This window comes from Homo sapiens, chromosome 4 (genome assembly GCF_000001405.40).
Source record: "Homo sapiens chromosome 4, GRCh38.p14 Primary Assembly".
Taxonomy (NCBI): domain Eukaryota; kingdom Metazoa; phylum Chordata; class Mammalia; order Primates; family Hominidae; genus Homo; species Homo sapiens.
Genome location: NC_000004.12, coordinates 83624325 through 83644672, shown reverse-complemented (window position 1 = coordinate 83644672; position 20348 = coordinate 83624325). Strand labels below are relative to the sequence as shown.

The window sequence follows — 20348 nt, the reverse complement described above, 5'->3', positions numbered from 1 at the left end:
TCTCCCTTTTTCTAGGACCATAAAGTTGTAAAAGGCAAGTTTATTTCAAACTTAACATCAGGTGGGTCCAAACCATGCACTTCATGTCTCTGTGTTTCAGCAGTACAATTCTTTGTATAGCAAATGTACTTTCTTACAAAACACCAAAACTAGCTTTAAAAATAATTGCATATGATTTTTTCACTGTGACCATTTATTCATTCCCGACCACAGCATTCATTCAACAAGTAATTTTTTTTTTTTTTTGAGATGGAGTCTCACTCTGTTGCCCAGGCTGGAGTGCAGTGGTGTGATCTCAGCTCACTGCAACCTCTGCCTCCTGGCTTCAAGCGATTATCTTGCCTCAGCCTCCCAAGTAGATGGGATTACAGACACGTGCCACCACGCCCGACTAAAATATATATATATATATTTTGTATTTTTTGTGGAGACAGGGTTTCACCATGTTGGCCAGGCTGATCTTGAACTCCTGACCTCAAGTGATTTGCCTGCCTCTGCCTCCCAAATTGCTGGGGTTAGAGGCGTGAGCCTCTGCACCCGGCTACATTTAACAAATATTTACTGATCATCTAGGCTTGAGAATACCACAGTGAATAGCATGCATCTGGTCCCTGCCCACATAGAGCTTACAGCTGAGGTGACAGAATAAACCCATCCAATGCTGGATTTGACTAAGGAAACATCTGTGGAATCACAGAGCAAGGGTACTAGCATAGCCAACGGGAATTCAGAGAACCTTATCGCTGGCACTGTGAGTGCCCCAACCATTCCCCAGGACACACTGAAAGTTACTTGGCGCTTCAGTAGATTGTTCTCATCTTATTCTTGGTTTCCCGCATCAAACACCTGCATTTCTCTGGCCGAGGACTTCTGCTAGCGACAAAATGGGCAAGCTAAAAGTACCAGGGAATTAAGCAACCCTCAGCCAGTGAGGGACAGGAGTTGGTGGATAGACACCCTAGCTCCCTTGCCCTTCAATAGATAATTCTGAAGTGTATTCCACTCAGGCTCTTAGAAAGTCCCTGGCCAGGCACAGTGGCTCACACCTGTAATCCCAGCACTTTGGGAGGCCGAGGCGGGCGGATCATGAGGTCAGGAGTTTGAGACCAGTCTGGCCAACACAGTGAACCCTGTCTCTACTAAAAATACAAAAATTAGCAGGGTGTGGTGGTGTGTGCCTGTAATCCCAGCTACTCAAGAGGATGAGACAGGAGAATCACGTGAACCAGGAGGCAGAGGTTGCAGTGAGCTGAGATTGCGCCACTGCACTCCAGCCCAGGTGACAGTGCGAGATTCAGGACAGAAAGGAAGAAGAAAAGAAAAGAAAAGAAAAGAAAAGAGAGAGAAGGAAGGAAGGAAGGAAGGAAGGAAGGAAGGAAGGAAGGAAGGAAGGAAAGGGAAGGAAAGGAAGGAAAGGAAGGAAAGGAAAGGAAGGAAGTCCCCAGTAGAATGTGCACAATTCATTGTTAACAGGACTGCTGGGATTTCAACAGGCTTGGTAAATGACATTCATCTTTCTCACAAATGTTGTGAGGCAATTAAGAAATCCGACCAAAGAATAAGGCAGCTAGGAGAATAGATATCACATTGTTAATATTGAAAAATGAGGCTACGTCTCTAGGCAAGTAGATCACATTGCACTCAAGAATTAAACTGCTGGTCTTTTTAAATTTTTATTTATTTTTTTGAGACCTGGTTATAAGACTGGCTAATTTTTGTATTTTTCGTAGAGATGGAGTTTCACCATGTTGCCGAGGCTGGTCTCAAAATCCTGAGCTCAAGCAATCCATCTCCCTCAGCTTCCCAAAGTGCTTAGATTACAGGCGTGGGCCACCGCACCCAGCCACTGCTTATCTTTTGAATCCCAAGCACCACTGGACTGGGCAAGCCTCTGAAAAACAGGGCCTGCCTGGTGCATTTATGACAAGGATGATCAGAGTGGAATGCAAGCTTCCAGAAGACAGGCTCCTCCCAAGAGAAAAAGGGAAGAGGCTGAGCCATTTGGTCAGTTATTCCTTCCACATTCACCAGTCAGATAAGTGACGTATCTTCCAGAAAGGAGCAAGGAAGGGGCATAAAAACACCAAGGAAGGGACCTAGAGAAGACACTATGTCTGAGCCTAAGAGGAACACACATCATCCAGAAATCCTAGACTAGTGGAGCTCCCTCCACAAGAATAAAACCTCAACAGTGGGAAAAAGGGTCCCCACCACCACACACTCCATCCCATGTCAAAACTTTAAGAGAGTTTTGCTAGTCCAGTGATTCCCTCATACCACCATTCAACATAGTAAATAAAAACAACATCTTTTGTAATTTCCATACTGTCAACACTCTTTCTGAGTGACACTGGTCCCCAATTAAGACAGCAGTAATCAATTATATGAACAAACAATAATCAATTATATGAACAATAATCAAGTCTCTATAGCATTAATAAATGGATTTTAGCCATGTAGTGCCTACTTTTAAAAGGCACTTAAGAAAGGCTTCACTTTTTTCTAATTATTCTTTCAACATGTATATAGCCCTTACTATATGCTAATACGGTGACATATTTATTTAACACTCACAATGACCTTACAAGTTGAGTACTAGTACAAGTTGAGTACCACTACTTAAATGAGAAAACTAAGAAAGCTAAGACTCTTGCTGAAGGTCACAGAGCTAATAAGAGTGAAGCCAGGAGTAAACATTGGTGACTTTTCTTTTTTTTTTTGAGACAGAGTTTCGCTCTTATTGCCCAGGCTAAAGTGCAATGGCGCAATCTCGACTTACCACAACCTCCGCCTCCCAGGTTCAAGCGATTCTCCTGCCTCAGCCTCCCGAGTAGCTGAGATTACAGGCGCACCACCACCATGCCCAGCTAATTTTGTATTTTCAGTAGAGACGAGGTTTCTCCATGTTGGTCAGGCTGGTCTCAAACTCCCGACCTCAGGTGATCTGCTCGCCTCAGCCTCCCAAAGTGCTGGGATTACAGGTGTGAACCGCTGTGCCCGGCCCACCTTGGTGACACTTATGTCAAAACTCATGCTCTGAAGTACTGTCCAATCCTTCCCTCTAATCATTAAGCTAGATGTTTGTCTTAGGAGGTCATTCAATGTGTTTTAAATTAGAAATGCCAGTAGGACAACCAGTTAGTGAATAAAGCAAATGGACTCAAATATTCTGCTTCATGAGTAATTGGCCCTCAAATGCACAAACCAAAATTTGCTAGAACAAAAGTCCACATAAACTAGGAAAAGGAAGAAAACGGTTCCATCATTTTTGACAAACTGTTGCCAAGTATCTTCCAACTTAAAATTGGTCCTAATAATAACTCTAACTCTTTGAGGTTCTATTTATCCCTGTTCTCTGTATCAGTGAGATTCTCTTATTTCTATGGTTTCAATTTTCATAAATACCACCTGTAAAATACATACAATTCTGTAAAAATGGTACAAATAGAACATACATGCAATTAATACTGCAATTACAGCCCCTTACTGCTTAGTTATTTGCTCATGTCTTTAAGTTCAGAGAAATGAGGGATGTACTCCTAGCACCTAAAATGATACCTGACAAATATTAGGGGCTCATATAAACACTTACTCAAAATACTGATTTAAATGAATAAATAGCTTTCAAGTGTTTAACTCAATAAAATAAGACACTTACAGGATTTGTCTCTTTTGGAAATCTTAAAAGGTATGTTAAGTGAATCCAAAATAGATTAAATAACTGGCTTTGTGGTCAAGTTTTTTTCTTAATGGAAATAGATTATTGGACCTGGAGTAGACACTACCTCTGAACCTAAGAGGAACACACATCATCCAGAAATCCTAGACGTGGTGTTGAACACATCAATTCAATGTGTCTTTAATTCCTCTTGGGAAGAAGATGAGTTTGTACTGTGTCTACTCAGGAAAGTTACAGCATTTAGGCACTTTGGGAATTGCATGCATGGGGAGAAGGGTATGGATGTGTTCTGGTATCTCAGTAGCAGAATGCGATAGGTTGCGGTTGCTCTTTTTAGTTTGCTCATTTGCCCAGCAAGCCTTCCCACTCCCTTCCTAAGGTAACATATTCTGTCTCTTCTTCTCCACCCCCCAACCACTGAGGATGATCACCCAACTCAAGCTGGCTGTTCATGGTGTCTCATTCCCCAGAATACATGATTGGTACAAGGCTTGGCATGAGACCCAATCAGGCCAGGGTCCTTCCTTGAGATTCTTCTGCTTGTAGCTAGCTGAGTCATAATGTGGAAAATTATTCAAAATCTGGATTTCTGATAACAACCTTCCTTGAAGCAAGATGGAATAAAACCAAAGGCCCTGGTTCCTACAGCAATTCCTTCTTCTGTGAGAAAACCCCTTCTTGCCGAAGCCAGTTTGAAATAGGTTTCTGTCACCTGATGCTGAAAAAGACCTGACTAATATACTAGGTCTTTGCCATAGTAGGATAATGTAACCTCCCTTTGTGACATTGGTTCTATGGAGAAATGTATTCAAGTCTCAACAGCCCGAAAGCCGTCATGAACTTTGTAAGCAGTCTCCAGCAAGTTGAGGATGAGTTGAATTCAATGCATTCATAATGCTGACCACAAGATGGCGCCTAAGACATTCTTTCAAAGGCCACTCATGCCCTACGTAAAGAATCCTAGATTCTATTAGGTTGCAAAATCCTTCCATTCTAGATTATTCCATAAGCACTCTGGTAGTTACAATGTAGCCTTCAGAGTATCATGCACATAATGGTCTTCAGTGAATGGTCAAATCACCAAAACACTGAACAAATATGAAAAGATGATGTCTGGTCTTTTCTTACAGGATAACAAATCAACCAGCAACATGTTCAGGAAATTTAGTCAAATAAAAATGCTCTATGACAGCTGAGATCAGCAAACCCCTATTATGTATTCATTAAATTAACCTGATTATCTTCCCTGTCTTCAAGGGCAAACAGAACTTAACACTATTTTTAAGTTTTTTCCCTACTGACAACTTAAGGTCACAAGTTCATGTCCCTGTCTCTCAACCAGGTTTAATGTCCATCAACTGGCCCAAGAAGTCTCCTCAAAGCTTGCCTTCAGTTTCCAGATACAACCTACAACACATAAAGTAAAAACCAAAATACGTTACATCTTACAGATTCTTTGAATTACGTTTTAAGGTGAGCTCATGAAAATGGAAGGAAAAGGCCTCTCGGGTAAAGTACAAGGCTCCTACTACCATAATAAGTTTTGTGAACTTTCTTTACGAAGAAAAGTTTTTCCCTCTTGTCTCTCCTTTGGTAGTAAAACACCATCACATGTTACATTCTATTCAAAGCCAGCAATTTTCCTTTTGAGCACTTGGCACACATTTTGTAATTATATGTTTCTACTTAATTGCTTTTTTTTCTCTCCTCCACAGTTATCTATCTCCATGAGGGAGGAACTATATTTTGTACTACTATGTACTTAGCACCAACAACAAAAACCAGCACTCAATAAATATTTATGTAGGCACCCAATAAAGTTATTGAATGAATAAACAAATGAGTGTCAAAAGTATGTCAATACAGAGAATTACTATAAAACAAGTGCAACTATTTATCAAGATCCAATCCATGTCTTGATAAATAATGGAAGGTACAGAAAACAGTCTCACATGCCAACACTTTTGGGTTGGTAGAAAAGCCTTAGTCAGTCTATTAGTCTGTTCTTGCATTGCTATAAAGAAATACCTGACAGTGGGTAATTTATAAAGAAAAGAGGTTTCACTTGCTCATGGCTCTGCAGGCTGTATAGGAAGCAAGACTGGGGAGGTCTCAGGAAACTTACAATCATGGCAAAAGGCAGAGGGGAAGCAGCATGTCTTACATGGCCAGATGAGGAGGAAGACACTGGGAGGTGCTACACACTTTTCAACAACAAGATCTCATAAGAACTCATTCCCTATCATGAGAACAGCACCCAGGGGAAATCCACCCCCATGTTTCACTCACTTCCCACCAGGCCCCACCCTCCAACACTGGGGATTACAATTCAACATGAGATTTGGGTGGGGACACAGACCCAAACCATATTGGTCAGAGAGCCCAGGATCACTGGTATCCAACTCATCTCCAGCACATCCTCTCCTCTAACTAATACAGAGGCTGACTACAAACTTCTGGATCTATTTCTGTCCCCACCAGAGTTCTTCCTAAACTCTTGGCCATACATAGATGAAATCTACCCCGGTCTCCAACCCTAAACAGGGTTCTTGTCCAGTCAACATATTTCTAGCCACCCTCTCATTTGTCTTTTTCTCTCCTTGTTCTATTCACTGTTTCCTGGTCATCTCTGTCAGATTTTCCTATTTTTATTAACTATTCAGCCAAGTTCCAGCTTGTCTTCTGTCTAAAAAGTCCTTTTTTCCCACAGATTACTATATGTGCAGAAATATCTGCATAGAAGATGGAAACTGCCCACAACAAAGGGGATATTGAACAACGCTTTACTGCCTCTATACCTGTTAGGGTTATTTAACTTTAAGGAACAAAAATTAACTCTGGGTGATTTAAACTAGAAAGTAACAGAAGTAATTCATAGAATCAAAATTTTTAAAAAGGCTAAAAGTGGTGACTCACACCTGTAATCCCAGCACTTTTGGAGGCGTAGGTGGGTGGATTGCTTGAGCTCAGGAGTTCAAAACCAGCTTGGGTAACATAGCAAGAGCCTATCTCTACAAAAACAAAAACAAAAAATTAGCTGGGCATGGTGGTGCACACCTGTGGTCCCAGCTACTTGGGAGGCTGAGGCAGGATGATGGCTTGAGCCCAGGAGGTCTGGGGTGCAGTGAGTGGAGATAGCACCACTACACTCCAGCCTGGGCAACACAGCGAGACCCTGTTTCAAAAAAAAAAGAAAGAAAGAAAATGAAAGGAAAGGAAAGGGGAAAAAAGGCATAGAAGCAGGCTTCAGGAAGGATAGAAATGGCTGCTTTGAGGATCTGGGTAGCAGGAAATAATGAACAGGTTCTCTCTTCAAGATGCCTTCCACAAAGGCAATGAGTTCAGTCCATGTTCAGTCCTTATGGACAATTCACTCCAGATGCCAGTTTCAGAGAGAGTATCTGATTGGCCTAGAGTAGATCACTGGACCAACCCTTGACTGGAGGTGGGGCACCTAGATTGACAGGCATCATGTACAGTGCAGATAGAAAGACGCCATGGGGCAGAATTGCTATCCCACCCTGCACTGTCTGCCTTCACATTAAGTGAGCGGGGCATAAATTTTACCTTGTTTAATCCACCGCCATTTCAGATCTCTGCCCCTTGCAGACGAAGCCTAACAGTGCACCCACCTGAACCTTACTTATGGTTAGAACACAAGTAAGGATAGAAGCCAGCTGTGTCGAAGGGAAAGTAATCCCTCCTCATGGAAATCAGGAGAGGAAAAGAGGCATTCTTCTCTAATTAGTAATAATTTCTGCCTGATCTGGCATAGGTATTGAATAATACCTACTTCATTCATTCTCTAGGGCCTAAGGACCATGGAATTCAAAGGATCTATTGTCTCCCGCGTCCGTGTGAAGAGTCCGCCAAACAGGCTTTGTGTGAGCAACAAGGCTGTTTATTCCACCTGGATGCAGGCGGGCTGAGTCCGAAAAGAGACTCAGCAAAGAGTGGTGGGATTATCATTAGTTCTTACAGGTTTTGGGATAGGCGGTGGAGTTAGGAGCAATGTTTTGCAGGCAGGGGGTGGATCTCACAAAGTACATTCTCAAGGGTGGGGAGAATTAACAAAGAACATTTTTAGGGGTGGGGGAAATTACAAAGAACCTTCTTAAGGGTGGGGGAGATTACAAAGTACATTGATCAGTTAGGGTGGGGCAGAAACAAATCACAATGGTGGAATGTCATCAGTTAAGGCTATTTTCACTTCTTTTGTGGATCTTCAGTTACTTCAGGCCATCTGGATGTATACGTGCAGGTCATAGGGGATATGATGGCTTAGCCTGGGCTCAGAGGCCTGATATCCATGAACTTAAATGGGGGAAAAAAGTTACATCTTTATTTTCACTAACCTCTTAACTGAAATTTAAAATGTGTTTCAATTAAGCATTTACGGCCGGGCACAGTGTCTCATGCCTGTAATCCCAACACTTTGAGAGGCCAAGGCAGGGGCGGATCACCTGAGATGTGGAGTTCGAGACCAGCCTGGCCAACATCGTGAAACCAGCTAACAAAAAATTAGCTGGGCGTGGTGGCAGGCGCCTGTAATCCCAACCACTCAGGAGGCTGAGGCGGGAGAATCGCTTGAACCTGGGAGGCGGAGGTTGCGGTGAGCCGTCACGCCACTGCACTCCAGCCTGGGTGAGAAGAGCGAAACTCCGTCTCAAAAAAAAAAAAAAAAAAAAAGGAATTTAGGCAACAGCCAGGACGGGGTGTTTACAACTAATTGATTACAACCAGTCACAGATTTCTTTGTTTCTTCTCCACTCCCACTGCTTCCCTTAACTAGCCTTTATTTCTTTTTCTGCTTTTTTTAGATGGAGTCTCGCTGTCTCACCCAGGCAATCTTGGCTCACTGCAACCTCCACCTCCCAGGTTCAAGCAGTTCTCCTGCCTCAGCTTCCCGAGTAGCTAGGATTACAGGCGTGAGCCACCACACCCAGCTAATTTTTTGTATTTTTAGTAGAGACAGGTTTCACCACACTGGCCAGGTTGGTCTCAAACTCCTGGCCTCAAACGATCTGCCCACTTCAGCCCCGAAAAGTGCTGGGATTACAGGCGTGAGCCACCACGCCCAGCCGACTAGACTTTAAAAAACAAAACCAAAACAAAGAATTTAGGCAATGAACCAAGTATTATAGTACTGGCCAGAACCTGTTGCTTACTCAACCAAATAATATCGTAGTTTTTTTTTGTAATACTTCATAGTTGCTGCAGATATCATAAAATATATACAGTCGTCATTATTTTCAAATTACAGTAGTTCTTCTACCTATGGAGGTTAACATGTTACTAAGAAGCACACGTGTTACAAATTTTCTCTTTTAAAATAACTGTATTTCAATATAATTGGTTTCTTTAGTGATTCTATTTATTTTATGTCACGCATGGAAAAATATTTCTCTGAGCTTTACTGGACTAGTCTACAAACACGTGGCACAACAAAGGTTTCACTATGTTGTTCAGGCTGCTAATTTTTTATTGTGTAGAGACAAGGTCTCCCTACATTGCCCAGGGTGGTCTGGAACTCCTGGGCTCAAGTGATCCACCCACCTTGGCCTCCCAATGTATTTCAATCCCTGTTCTACAAATAACCCCACAAAAAAGGAGCAAAGGACATGAACAGGCACTTCTCAAAAGAAGACATCCATGCAGCCAGCAATCATACGAAAAAAAAAATTCTCATTATCACTAATCACCATCTCACTAAACCACAGTGAAATAGTTTCTCACACCAGTCAATATGGCTATTATTAAAAAGTCAAATAATAACAGATGCTGGCAAGGCTGCAAAGAATAAAGAATGCTCATACTCTGTTGGTGAGAATATAAATTCGTTCAGCCACTGTGGAAAGCAGTTTGGAGATTTTCAAATAATTTAGAACTACCATTCAACCCAGCAATCCCATTACTGGGTATGTGCCCAAAAGAAAATAAATCATTCTACCAAAAAAAAGACACAGGCACTCACTCATATGTTTATTGCAGCACTACTCACATTAGCAGAGACATGGAATCAACCTAGGTGTCAATCAATGATGGATTGGATAAAGGAAATGTGGTACATGTACACCATGGAATACTTTGCAGCAACACAGATGCAGCTGGAGCCATTATCCTAAGTGACACAAGAACAGAAAACCAAATACCAGCAGGGAGTGGTGGCTCACGCCTGTAATCCCAGCAGTTTGAGAGGCTGAAGTGGGCAGATCATTTGAGGCCGGGAGTTCAAGATCAGCCTGGATACCATGACAAAACCCTGTCTCTACAAAAAAACACACACACACACACACAAAGTAGCCAGGCGTGGTTGTGTGCACCTATAGTCCTAGCTACTCAGGAGGCTGAGGTGGGAGGATTGCTTGAACCTGGGAGGTCAAGGCTGCAGTGAGCCATGATTGCACCACTGCACTCTCCAGCCTGGGTGGCAGAGTGAGGCCCTGTCTCAGAAAACCACACACACACACACACACACACACACACACACACACACACACAAACCACATGTTCTCACTTATAAGTGGAAGCTATACATGGGGTACTCGTGGACATAAAGATGAGAACAATAGACACCAGAGACTACTGGGCAGGGGAAGAATGGGGGAAGTAGGGGGGAGGGGATGGGTTTTAAAAACTACCTACTGGATACTGTGCTCACTATCTGTATGAATGACGGGATCATTTGCACCCCAAACCTCAGCATCACACAATATATCCATGTAACAAACCTGCCCATGTGCCTCCATATCTAAAATAAAAATTGAAAATATTAAAAACCCTTTAAGGAATAAAATACATTGTTATTAACTATTTTTTTAAAAAAAGAATTTCTACTTTTTTTTTTTTTTTTTTTTTTTTGAGACAAGCCCTCATTCTGTTGCCCTGATTGGAGTGCAGTGGCACTGTCACAGCTCAGGCTCACTGCAGCCTCTATCTTCCAAGCCCAAGGGATCCTCCCATCTCAGCCTCCAGAGTAGCTGGGACTACAAGCACCTGCCACCATGCCTGGTTACTTTCTGGTTTTTGGGTGTTTTTGTTTTTGTTTTTGTTTTTGTAGAGACAGGGTTTCACCATGTTTCCCAGGCTGGTAATTTTTTATTTTGTAGAGATGAGGTCTCCCTATGTTGCCCAGGCTGGTCTGGAACTCCTGGGCTCAAGCAATCTATCCTTCATGGCCACCCAATGTATTTCAATATATTTGGTTTCCTTTGTGATCTTATCTATTTTATGTTATGCATTGAAAAATATTTTTTCTGAGCCTGAGCCTCTGCACTCGGCCAAGAATCCCTGTTCTAAGGGAAGTCAATACAAGACTTTTAGCTAAATGACATGATCATATTTGTCTTTCATAAAGAGAACTCTGGAAACCTTCATAGAAATACCTAGAGTTGGGGGAAATTAACATGTCATACAAGGCTCTCTGCAGGCTGGCCTCCACATCCCTGTCCTGCCTCTTGTCCTGCCTTTCTCTCACTTGTATCTGACCTTCTGGACATCTGGGCTTCTCACTGTCTGCCATATGTTTCATGCTCTTGACCTCTCTGGGACTCTGAGCATGTTCCCTCTCCTCTGAATGATTTCCTCCCTCTTTCCTACAGCATGAGCTTCTTTAAAACCCAGCACACATCATCCTCTCTTTGGGGCTGCTTACTCCCTCTGTCATATTCCCATAGCCACAGCACCTTGAACGTAATCCAGAATAATACACAACACACGGAATCCCTTGTCATTCTAAGTACCTGTCTCCCAGCTAAGCTGTTGCTTCTACTGTCCTGGGGTCTGTCGGAATCATAGGCCAGCCCTCCTTGATCCATCTCCTCTCATGCTGGTTTTGTTGCTGACACAATTCATCCCCTCTTTCTTTGATTACCAAGACTCAGTTGCCACTGCATGCAGACATATCTTATCCCTGTCCCCTTTTGCTTCAGTCACCAAGCCCTAACGAGACAGCCTGGGTCCTCCTCATTCTGACTGCAAGGCACACCCACCCCAAGTTCTCTAGTCAGGGTCCCGGTCAATTTTATGCCCCTGTGGGGAACTCTTCTGTGCAGCTTCATGTGCAGGTGGGTGGATGGGCAGGGGGACATGCTGGCTACACCTGCCACACTACCACTTATGCCCTTCTTCAGCTGCACCATATTGGCAAGTGGGCTAGGATAGAAGGGCTTCTTGTCCTTCTGCCATGTTTATGCTCATTTCATAAATGAGTAAGTGGGACTTACAGAGGCCAGTTTACTGGCGCAAAGTCATGAAGCTACTAAATGGAAAGCCAGTTTTCAGCCTAATGGTATTTAAGGCCAGAGCCCAAGCTCCTAACATGGACCTACTATGTGTCAGACACCATGCCGTGGGCTGGGAATACAAGGAAAAATAAGATACAATAGCTGGTCCTGTGTTGCTGGGTCTGCTAATGATACAAACTACTATTTGTCTGCTGCTGCTGCCTGCAGTGATATTTCTGTGAGGTGAGAAACAATGATTTATCCTTTGAAATCTACTTGATAACTACTTACTCATCAGCAATGTTGTTTACTGCAAAGATCACAGGACTTAAGGTCTAAAGCTTCTGGTTCTAGCCTTCTCTGCTACCTATTAGTAATCAGTTCAGTATGGGCCTCCATTTCCAATCTGAAAAAGAATAAAATATGTGCACTGATAAGCTCACAGGGATATTGTGAATTTCAAGGACTTGAAAACGTAAGGCCAGGCTCAGCGGCTCACACCTGTAATCCCTTTTGCATCTCCACAAAAAATACAAAAATTAGCCAGGCATGATGGCACATGCCTGTAGTCTCAGCTTCTCGGGAGGCTGAGGTAGGAGGATCACTTGAGCCAGGGAAGTTGAAGCTGCAGTGAGCCACGATTGCACCACTGCATTCCAGCCTGGGTGACAGTAAGACCCTGTCTCAAAAAAAAAAAAAAGAAGAAGAAGAAGAAGAAGAAGAAAAAACAGACTTGAAAGCCTTCAATATAAGGTTGAGGATTATTGTTAATACCAATCTGAAGTCACATTGCATATTCTCCCACTAAGATTTTCAAACCTTTTCATAAATAGTTACAATCAGTTCATAATAATTTTTAAAAGTAAAGGGCAGTAGTGGTTCCTAGCAGGAAGGGGATGACAGCAGAAGCAAGGAACTGAGCAGATGAATACAATGCCATTGTTATTATTCTGGCTCTTGAGTTGATCAGTGGTTCCACAGGTGTCCAATTTATTAGTATGTTTGTTAACTTATATCTGTGTTATAAGTATTCTTTTTCATATATTAAATATTGAATAATAAGTGTTTGGATTTTTTATTTTAAAAGTAAGGCTTTATTGGGGGAAAAAAGCTGCAAAGCAAGAGATTAGAAATATGGAAACAATCTGCAGGGGAATTCTTGTGTTTGGGATTCTTGTATGAAGGGAACTTAAAACCACACAGATTTTATGGGTGGAGGGGAATGAAAGCAACACACTCTATCTATTAATTTTTAAAACTCAGATCCTACCAAATTTCAGCCTTAGAACAGAGTTTCACACCACTTTACACTGAAAAATCTATCCCTCTTTGAATTGTAGGAAATCATTTATTTCTTTTTCCAAAAAAGAACTCTCAGCTAGTCTAGAGAGATAACACATTTGTTGTAGCCATAAATTTATTTGGAAGAACAACTGGGCTTTACACAGGCCATCTGGAGAAGACAAATGTTTCATGGAAGCATGTGGGAAATTTCACTGACAACATATGTAGCTAAATGAACTGTCTTTGGCATCGCCGAAAGGAGAAAATTCCATTACACACAAGGAAGGTATTTCAACAATCACCTCAAAGTAAATATACATTAATCTACTAATTTAACTAAAACATATGTAAGGTGAAGCTATGCTTCTCTTCCATGTACTGACAGCTAAACATACAGCCTCTGCAGAGGAGGCATTTGGTTCAACTCCACAGGGACACCTTTGAAATCACTGTATTCATCTGCACATGTTTAAAGAAATGTGTCTTCCTGAAACTCCCCCTTCCTCTGCACACCTTCCACTCCCCTGAACCCTTGTGTGATGTCATGGAAATGTGGAAGAATATTAGGTAGGGAATCAAGAGAGATAGTCCTACCCCTGTCACTAATTTAGAGACCTCAAACCAGCCACATAGCCATTTCATATAGTTTTATCACCTATAAAATGAAGGAATAATTACTTCTCTAGTTACATCACAGGGGTTTTGTGAAGACACTATTAACACCTCATATTAGGATAATAGTTTACAATTTGATATGTGTTTTAAACAGATTGTTTCATTTATGTCACAACTTTATCCCCATTTGATAGATAAGAAAATTAATGCTACATAAGGGAAACAGTAATTGCTACAATAAACAAAACAGTCAGCACTTAACACAATAGGGTTATTTCCTGCTCATGTAACTGTGTACTGAGGGTGTTCCTGGTCAGGGTGCAGTTTTCCTCCACGAAGTAATTGAGCCCTGGCTCCTTCTGTCTTGTGGCCCCACCAGATCCTACAGCCTTGGAGTCTCCTGCCTCAAGCTGGCAGACAGGCAGAGAGGTTGGAGAAAGCACACCTACTTTTTAACAACCTCATGCTGGAAGTGACCCAAATGACTTTCACTTACATCTCACTGGTGAGAACAGTCAATGCCTCCACCCAGATGTGAGGGGTATTGCGAAATGTAGGCTATCGCTGGGTGGCTGCTTCCCAGTGATAAAGCTGTTCTGTGGAAGAGGAAGCATAACTTTATGGTGAACAGTTAATCACCTCTGCCATGACAAAGCAGTTATGCTATTAACTCAAGGCCGCACAACTAGTAGATAGTCTATTAGCTATCTATTTCTGCATAGCAAATTACCATGAACTAAGTAACTTAAAATAACACACAGTCTGAGCCAGGAGTCTGGACACGGTTTAGCTGGGTTCTCTGCTTCAGAGTCTCACAACGCTGTAGTCAAGGTGTTGGCCTGGGCTAAGTTCTCATCTGAAGGCTTGCCTGGAGAAGAATCCATTTTCCCACTCAAATGGTTCTTGGCAACATTAAGTTCCTTGCAGTTATAAGATTCATGACAGCTTTCTTCTTCAAAATCAGTAACGGAGATGGTAGAGGGGGTGAGGGAGCAAGAGGCTCTGGAGTGATATATAATATAATGAAATTTTAAGGGCAGCATCTCTTCACCTTTGCTATAGTCTACTGATTAGAAGTAATTCACAGGTCTGCCTACAAGCAAGAGAAGAGGATTATATAAAAACATAAACACCAGGAGAGGAATCATGGGGGCCACCTTAAAGTTTGCCCATCACAATAAAAAACTCAAACCCAGACTTTCTGACTACAAATCCAATGTCCTTTCCATTTAATCGTTTGTCCATCTTTGGACTCCACAGTTCTAATCTGTAAAATGAAGATAATATTTGCATATAACATACCCAGTTATTATGAGGAACAAATAAAATAGTGGATGTGAATTCACTCTATAAGCTGTAAACTACTCTGTAAATTTAATAGTTTTTTATTTTTATTTTATCCCCTTGCCTATGATGTTTCCCTACTCTTCCTGACCATCTAAATCCTATTCTTCCTTCAAGGACCATCTCAATGCTACCTCCTCCATGAAGCATGTGTATCATTCGGGATGAGGTTCAAATGATGGCTCAAATAATTTTGAAGCCAAAGCTGATAATACAAATCCACAAAATCACTGAGGATCAAGACATCTTCCAGATCTCTAACCTAGAGTGTGGTCTCTATTCTGAAGGCCCAAGATGGCTACTAGAGCTCCAACCATCACATTTCCAAACCAGACAGCTAAAAAGAAAAAATATTTTTTATAGATACTTCCCAAAAGTCCTACTTAAGACTTGGATTCAAGTCCTTTTGACAAGAACTAAGTCCCATTCCTATACCTGGTTGCAACAGAGCCTGAAAAATACAGTTTCTAGTTGGGTATGCTAATATCTTGAATAAATGTAGGGTTCTGTTACTAAGACAGAGGAAGAGAATGAATTTGGAGAGAGTAAATAGTCTCAGCCATAAGACGTTTTTTATTTATTTATTTATTTATTTTTGAGACAGAGTCTTGCTCTGTCACCCAGGCTGCAGTACAACGGTACAATCTCAGCTCACTACAACCTCCGCCTCCCAGGTTCAAACCATTCTCCTGCCTCAACCTCCTGAGTAGCTGGAACTACACGTGCACACCACCATGCCCAGCTAATTTTTGTATTTCTGGTAGAGTCGGAGTTTTACCATGTTGGCCAGGCTGGTCTCAAACTCCTGACCTCATGTGATCCACCCGCTCCGGCCTCCCAAAGTGCTAGGATCACAGGCATGAGCCACGGCACCAGGCCTCATAAGATGTTTTAGAAATATCAAGTATACACATCTACCTAGAGGACATGGGATAAATAGGAATATCAATGATTTGGAAATACATTTGTAGAGAGCCTAGAATTGCAAGCTAAGGAATTAGATTTCACTTGGTATCTAATAAGGAAAAGTAACATGGTGAAAGGGGTGAGTTAGGAAGCTGAATGTAACTGCGGCTTCAGGCTTAGGAATATTAGTTCTAAGACTGTTATGATCTAGCAAGAGATGAAAAGATCTGAATGTTACCTGAATAGGGATGACAGGGAAGAATGAAATTAGAGAGCTATTTTAAAGAAAAAAATCCAATTATATATAGATGGCAGGAGAGAGGACAAAGAAGCCAAGTTGGTGGAGAGAAAATGAGACAGGAAAACCTAAGGAGGTACCAGGTCAATAGAATAGGAGGAGCAAGGAGAACTCTGTGGCTGACTGCTAGAATTAAGGAAGGAAAATGATAGGCCTGGTAGCAAATTTGAGAGCCATAGCAGTGAAATATTTATAAGAGAAATCACTTAAGTGGCTCCATCTCCCACTACTTAGGCAAACCTTGGCTGGGCAAAACGCTCAGGCTCTGTGGAACTCAATTCTCCTCATTTGAAAATGGGAATAACGATCCCTACCTTGCAAGATGAGAGTTCCTGGTACGCAGAGTAAACAATGGCCATTACACCTAATTTTGCAACTGGAAGGGGGAATAGAGGCATACCTGGCACTTCACGGCATGCCCAGCTTTGTGGCCTAAACACATCCACCTGCTAAAGCAGCAAGTAGATGAAGTTCCTTTCTCTTCCAGAAAATTACATGAATCTACTAGCTTTAATATAATAAAAAGCCCAATCGTGGGGGATAAGCAAAAACTAACAAAAAGTTTCCTTATTTGAAGTCAGTGCTCTCGAAATGTCATCCACCTTTACCAGCCATCTGCCAATCTGAGACATGTGCATGCACCAGCCCGGGGCTGCATCCCACCCTACCCACCACTCCTCTTGAGGAACAGCAGTAGCCAGCCTCAGGAGCCAGCCTAACTCACCAGTTATGCCCCTGACCTGGCCCCATACCTCAAGAGGCTAGGGACAGCTAGTCCAAGACTAGAGAAAGGTCTGCAGATAACAGATCCTGCCCCAAGACCACACCAGCAGACAATCTGAGGTTGCCCCAGACAAGCCACCATACAGATAGGCAAGGCACCCAACGTGGAAAAACAACATTCATTCCTGCCCAGATAGCAGGTTGTTGGGAAAGGCTCTGCTTCAGTGAGCACTGATTAAATGAATGAATGAATATCCCTCAAGCTTGCATTAAGAAAGATGGGCTACAGAACAGATTTATCTGTGAAATATTTTGAACTGCTGCCAGCAGATCCACTCTCTTAATTTCATCCATAAATATAATGTGACAATAGCAGAACAAGATCCTCAGAATTGGAATTTATCAGAAAGTGTAGAGAAAGAAATTTAAACATGTAACCATGTAGCAATGCTTTGCAATTTCCCATTACAGAGAAAAGCTGCTAAGAGGACATTGTTTTACTTTGTTAGTAGAAGTTGAACTTCTGGCCTAAGACTTAGGTTTTATGAAAACCTAAGTTTTCATAAACTTAAAACTTTCCTAAAAATTTCAGTTTTTAGGAAAACTGAATTTTCCTTTAATGATGTAACCAATTACATGATAAGGCCACTTTAGAAGGAAATAATATCAGTACTAGGAAAGAAAATGCTTCTTGTTCCAAAGTAAATCTGTTAAGAATTCACAGATCTACTTGGAAATGCTACACTTAAAAAAAAAAAAAAGTCTAATTTGGATGTCACCTCAGTGATGATTATGCCTTTGTTAATTCAGCGACTTGTGCTGCCCAGATACATGACTTTGATCCCAAACTACCTCCACACAGTGTTTAAAAATAGCAAACCCAGATGAACTGAGCATAGGTAACCCGAGCCAGACATGCGCTAGAGCCACACTATAAATAGAAGGAAAGACAACCCAGAGAAAACAAGGTCAAAGAAACAACCAAAATGCTTTTTAAATACGGACTGATTCTCTTTCGCAGAGACAATGAGAAAATGGGTTACTTCCTAGATTGTTTTATTGAAGGCTGACATGGTTTACGCAAGCTCCTGAATTCTAAGAGCAGTGTTTCTGTGAAACAGTATCGCCTCCAAACAGCGGTGTATGTTCACGGAAGAAATGCACTGCTGGAATTTTCACCTGCTCGCCTCCCCCTAAAAGAGGGACTGCAGCATTGCGGAATCTCTAACTACCAGTATCTATAAATCCCTTCATAATTCTGTTAGAGTTAATTTTCCCTTTTATGTTCAGATTTGAGAGTGGTGTGTTCTATGCCAGAATTAACCACTCTGCAACATTAAACAAATGTGTGTGTTAGCATTGAATATGGGGATTTCTTTTGGGCTATAGGGAGTAGAATCGGGTTTAAATTAGCAATAAGAGATATTGACAGCCTCAAATGCTCTGTTTTTCTCTATCTCACTCATAAATTGGGAAGGAGGACTTCTGGAAAGTCTTCCTCCAGTTCCTGTAAGTTTGCAATACTCTCCCTGGCTGTCTTTCCTGGCACTCACCAAAGAAAGTGTGCTATACAGCTCCTGGAAGAACCCATGCACTTCTGAGGCCTCTATTGTCTGGGCAGCACCCAACAGTGGCTTCTCTGCCTCAGACATGAGTGTAGCAGCAGGTGGGAAACTTCCAAAGGCTTCTGTGCACAATTGCCTATCTCAGCTAGTGTCCAGTTTAATTAAGTTAATATTTAATTTAGCCTAATAGACATTAGATTCAATAAGCATTCAACAAAGTCTGTTGTGAATATTTTATATTTAAATCATTAAAATTAGGTCCTACAATAGAGAGGAGAAGAATCTCTTAAAGTAACATATTTCTTGCTCTAAGGCTGTGTTTTAATGTTTGCTTCGCAGAGCCTCAGGGTTTGCATTAGAGACTATAAATAGAAGCAGAAGGATGAGGTCAGGAGTTCGAGACCAGCCTGGCCAACACGGTGAAATCCCATCTTTACTAAAAATACAAAATTAGCCAGGTATGGTGGCGGGCGCCTCTAATCCCAGCTACTCGGGAGGCTGAGGCAGGAGAATTGCTTAAACCTGGGAGGTTGCAGTGAGCAGAGATCATGCCACTGCACTCTTGCCTGGGCGACAGACCAAGATCCATCTCAAAAAAAGGAAAGAAAAGAGAAAAAAAAGAAACAGAAGGAGACCAAGGGAATTGGGCTCTGAGTCTTTGGAACTTCATCACTGATTCAATCAAAGCATTATGTAAGATTTCACTGAGGAAAAACTTCTCTAGATAAAAAAAGAAAATGTATGTGTGTGTGTGTGTACACACATGCAGACATAACACATATGTATGTATAGATATGCACACATATGTACTATACATATATGCTTATAAAACTCTTCATTTTAGGACTATTTCATTTGCAACTCACTATAGCTGTAAATTGAATTAACTAATTGCAAACCCAGTTTGCTCTAGCTGAAGTATGTGGAAAAGATTGGATTAACTATTATATCTGGAAAGTCAAAGGGTTTTCTGGCCTCAAGCATTGATGAATGAAGGGTATCAAGCTATATCAACAGGATGGATCTCTCTCTTTTTTCTCCACTTTCCTCTGTGCTGTCTTCATTCTCAGAAGGTACTTTCCTTGTGGCAGCAAAGATGACTCCCATGATCTCTGGATCTGCATAGTTCTTACTATTTGCAATCTAAGAACCTATCTCTTTGCGTCCTTATTGCTCTTTCAGAAGGTCTCTGCTTGACGCTCTTAGATAATGTGTCCACCCTTGAGTCAAAAGAAGTTCTCTAACCAGCCAGTGTGGGGGCATGTGCCGACCTCCATGGAAGGAGAAGATGCTTGCCCAGTAATATAACATATCAACAAAAGAAAAGAATACATGGAAGATAAAAGGTAACACCCCTTACATCACTGAAATAAGGTAGGACAACTTTGTTTCATGGTAATATCAGACCTCCATTTTCAAAATGAAATTTGACGGCATAGCCCAAAACATACTAACATTCTTTGTTTATTAAAGCCAAAATGAAATTCACTCAGTGTATTAGTTCTGCTCTCACACTGCTATGAAGAAATACCCAAGACTGGGTAATTTATAAAGGAAAGAGCTTTAATTGACTTACAGTTGTGCAGGCCTGGGGAAGCTTCAGGAAACTTATAATCATGGTGTAAGGGGAAGCATGGTGGCAGCTCCACAGGGTGGCAACAAGGAGAAGTACAGAGCAAAGTAGGGGGGAAGCCCTAATAAAATCATCA

The 20348-nt window shown here is 41.7% G+C and overlaps 4 annotated features.

The window, feature by feature from the left end:
- Positions 4477–4526: an enhancer, noted in NCBI's record as "active region_21689". NCBI's record gives its function as "activates an Ori minimal core promoter by ATAC-STARR-seq in GM12878 lymphoblastoid cells {active_cell/tissue: GM12878}" and the evidence as "EXISTENCE:reporter gene assay evidence [ECO:0000049][PMID:35858748]".
- Positions 7468–7969: an enhancer, noted in NCBI's record as "H3K27ac hESC enhancer chr4:84557857-84558358 (GRCh37/hg19 assembly coordinates)". NCBI's record gives its function as "activates a minimal SCP1, AML or CMV promoter by ChIP-STARR-seq in naive H9 embryonic stem cells {active_cell/tissue: H9 hESC(naive)}" and the evidence as "EXISTENCE:reporter gene assay evidence [ECO:0000049][PMID:30033119]".
- Positions 14058–14781: a transcriptional cis regulatory region, noted in NCBI's record as "candidate enhancer chr4.2103 targeted for multiplex CRISPR interference". NCBI's record gives its function as "positively regulates GPAT3 gene expression in K562 cells {active_cell/tissue: K562}" and the evidence as "EXISTENCE:mutant phenotype evidence [ECO:0000015][PMID:30612741]".
- Positions 14163–14457: an enhancer, noted in NCBI's record as "tiled region #4612; K562 Activating DNase matched - State 5:Enh". NCBI's record gives its function as "activates a minimal TATA promoter and a strong SV40 promoter by Sharpr-MPRA in K562 cells {active_cell/tissue: K562}" and the evidence as "EXISTENCE:reporter gene assay evidence [ECO:0000049][PMID:27701403]".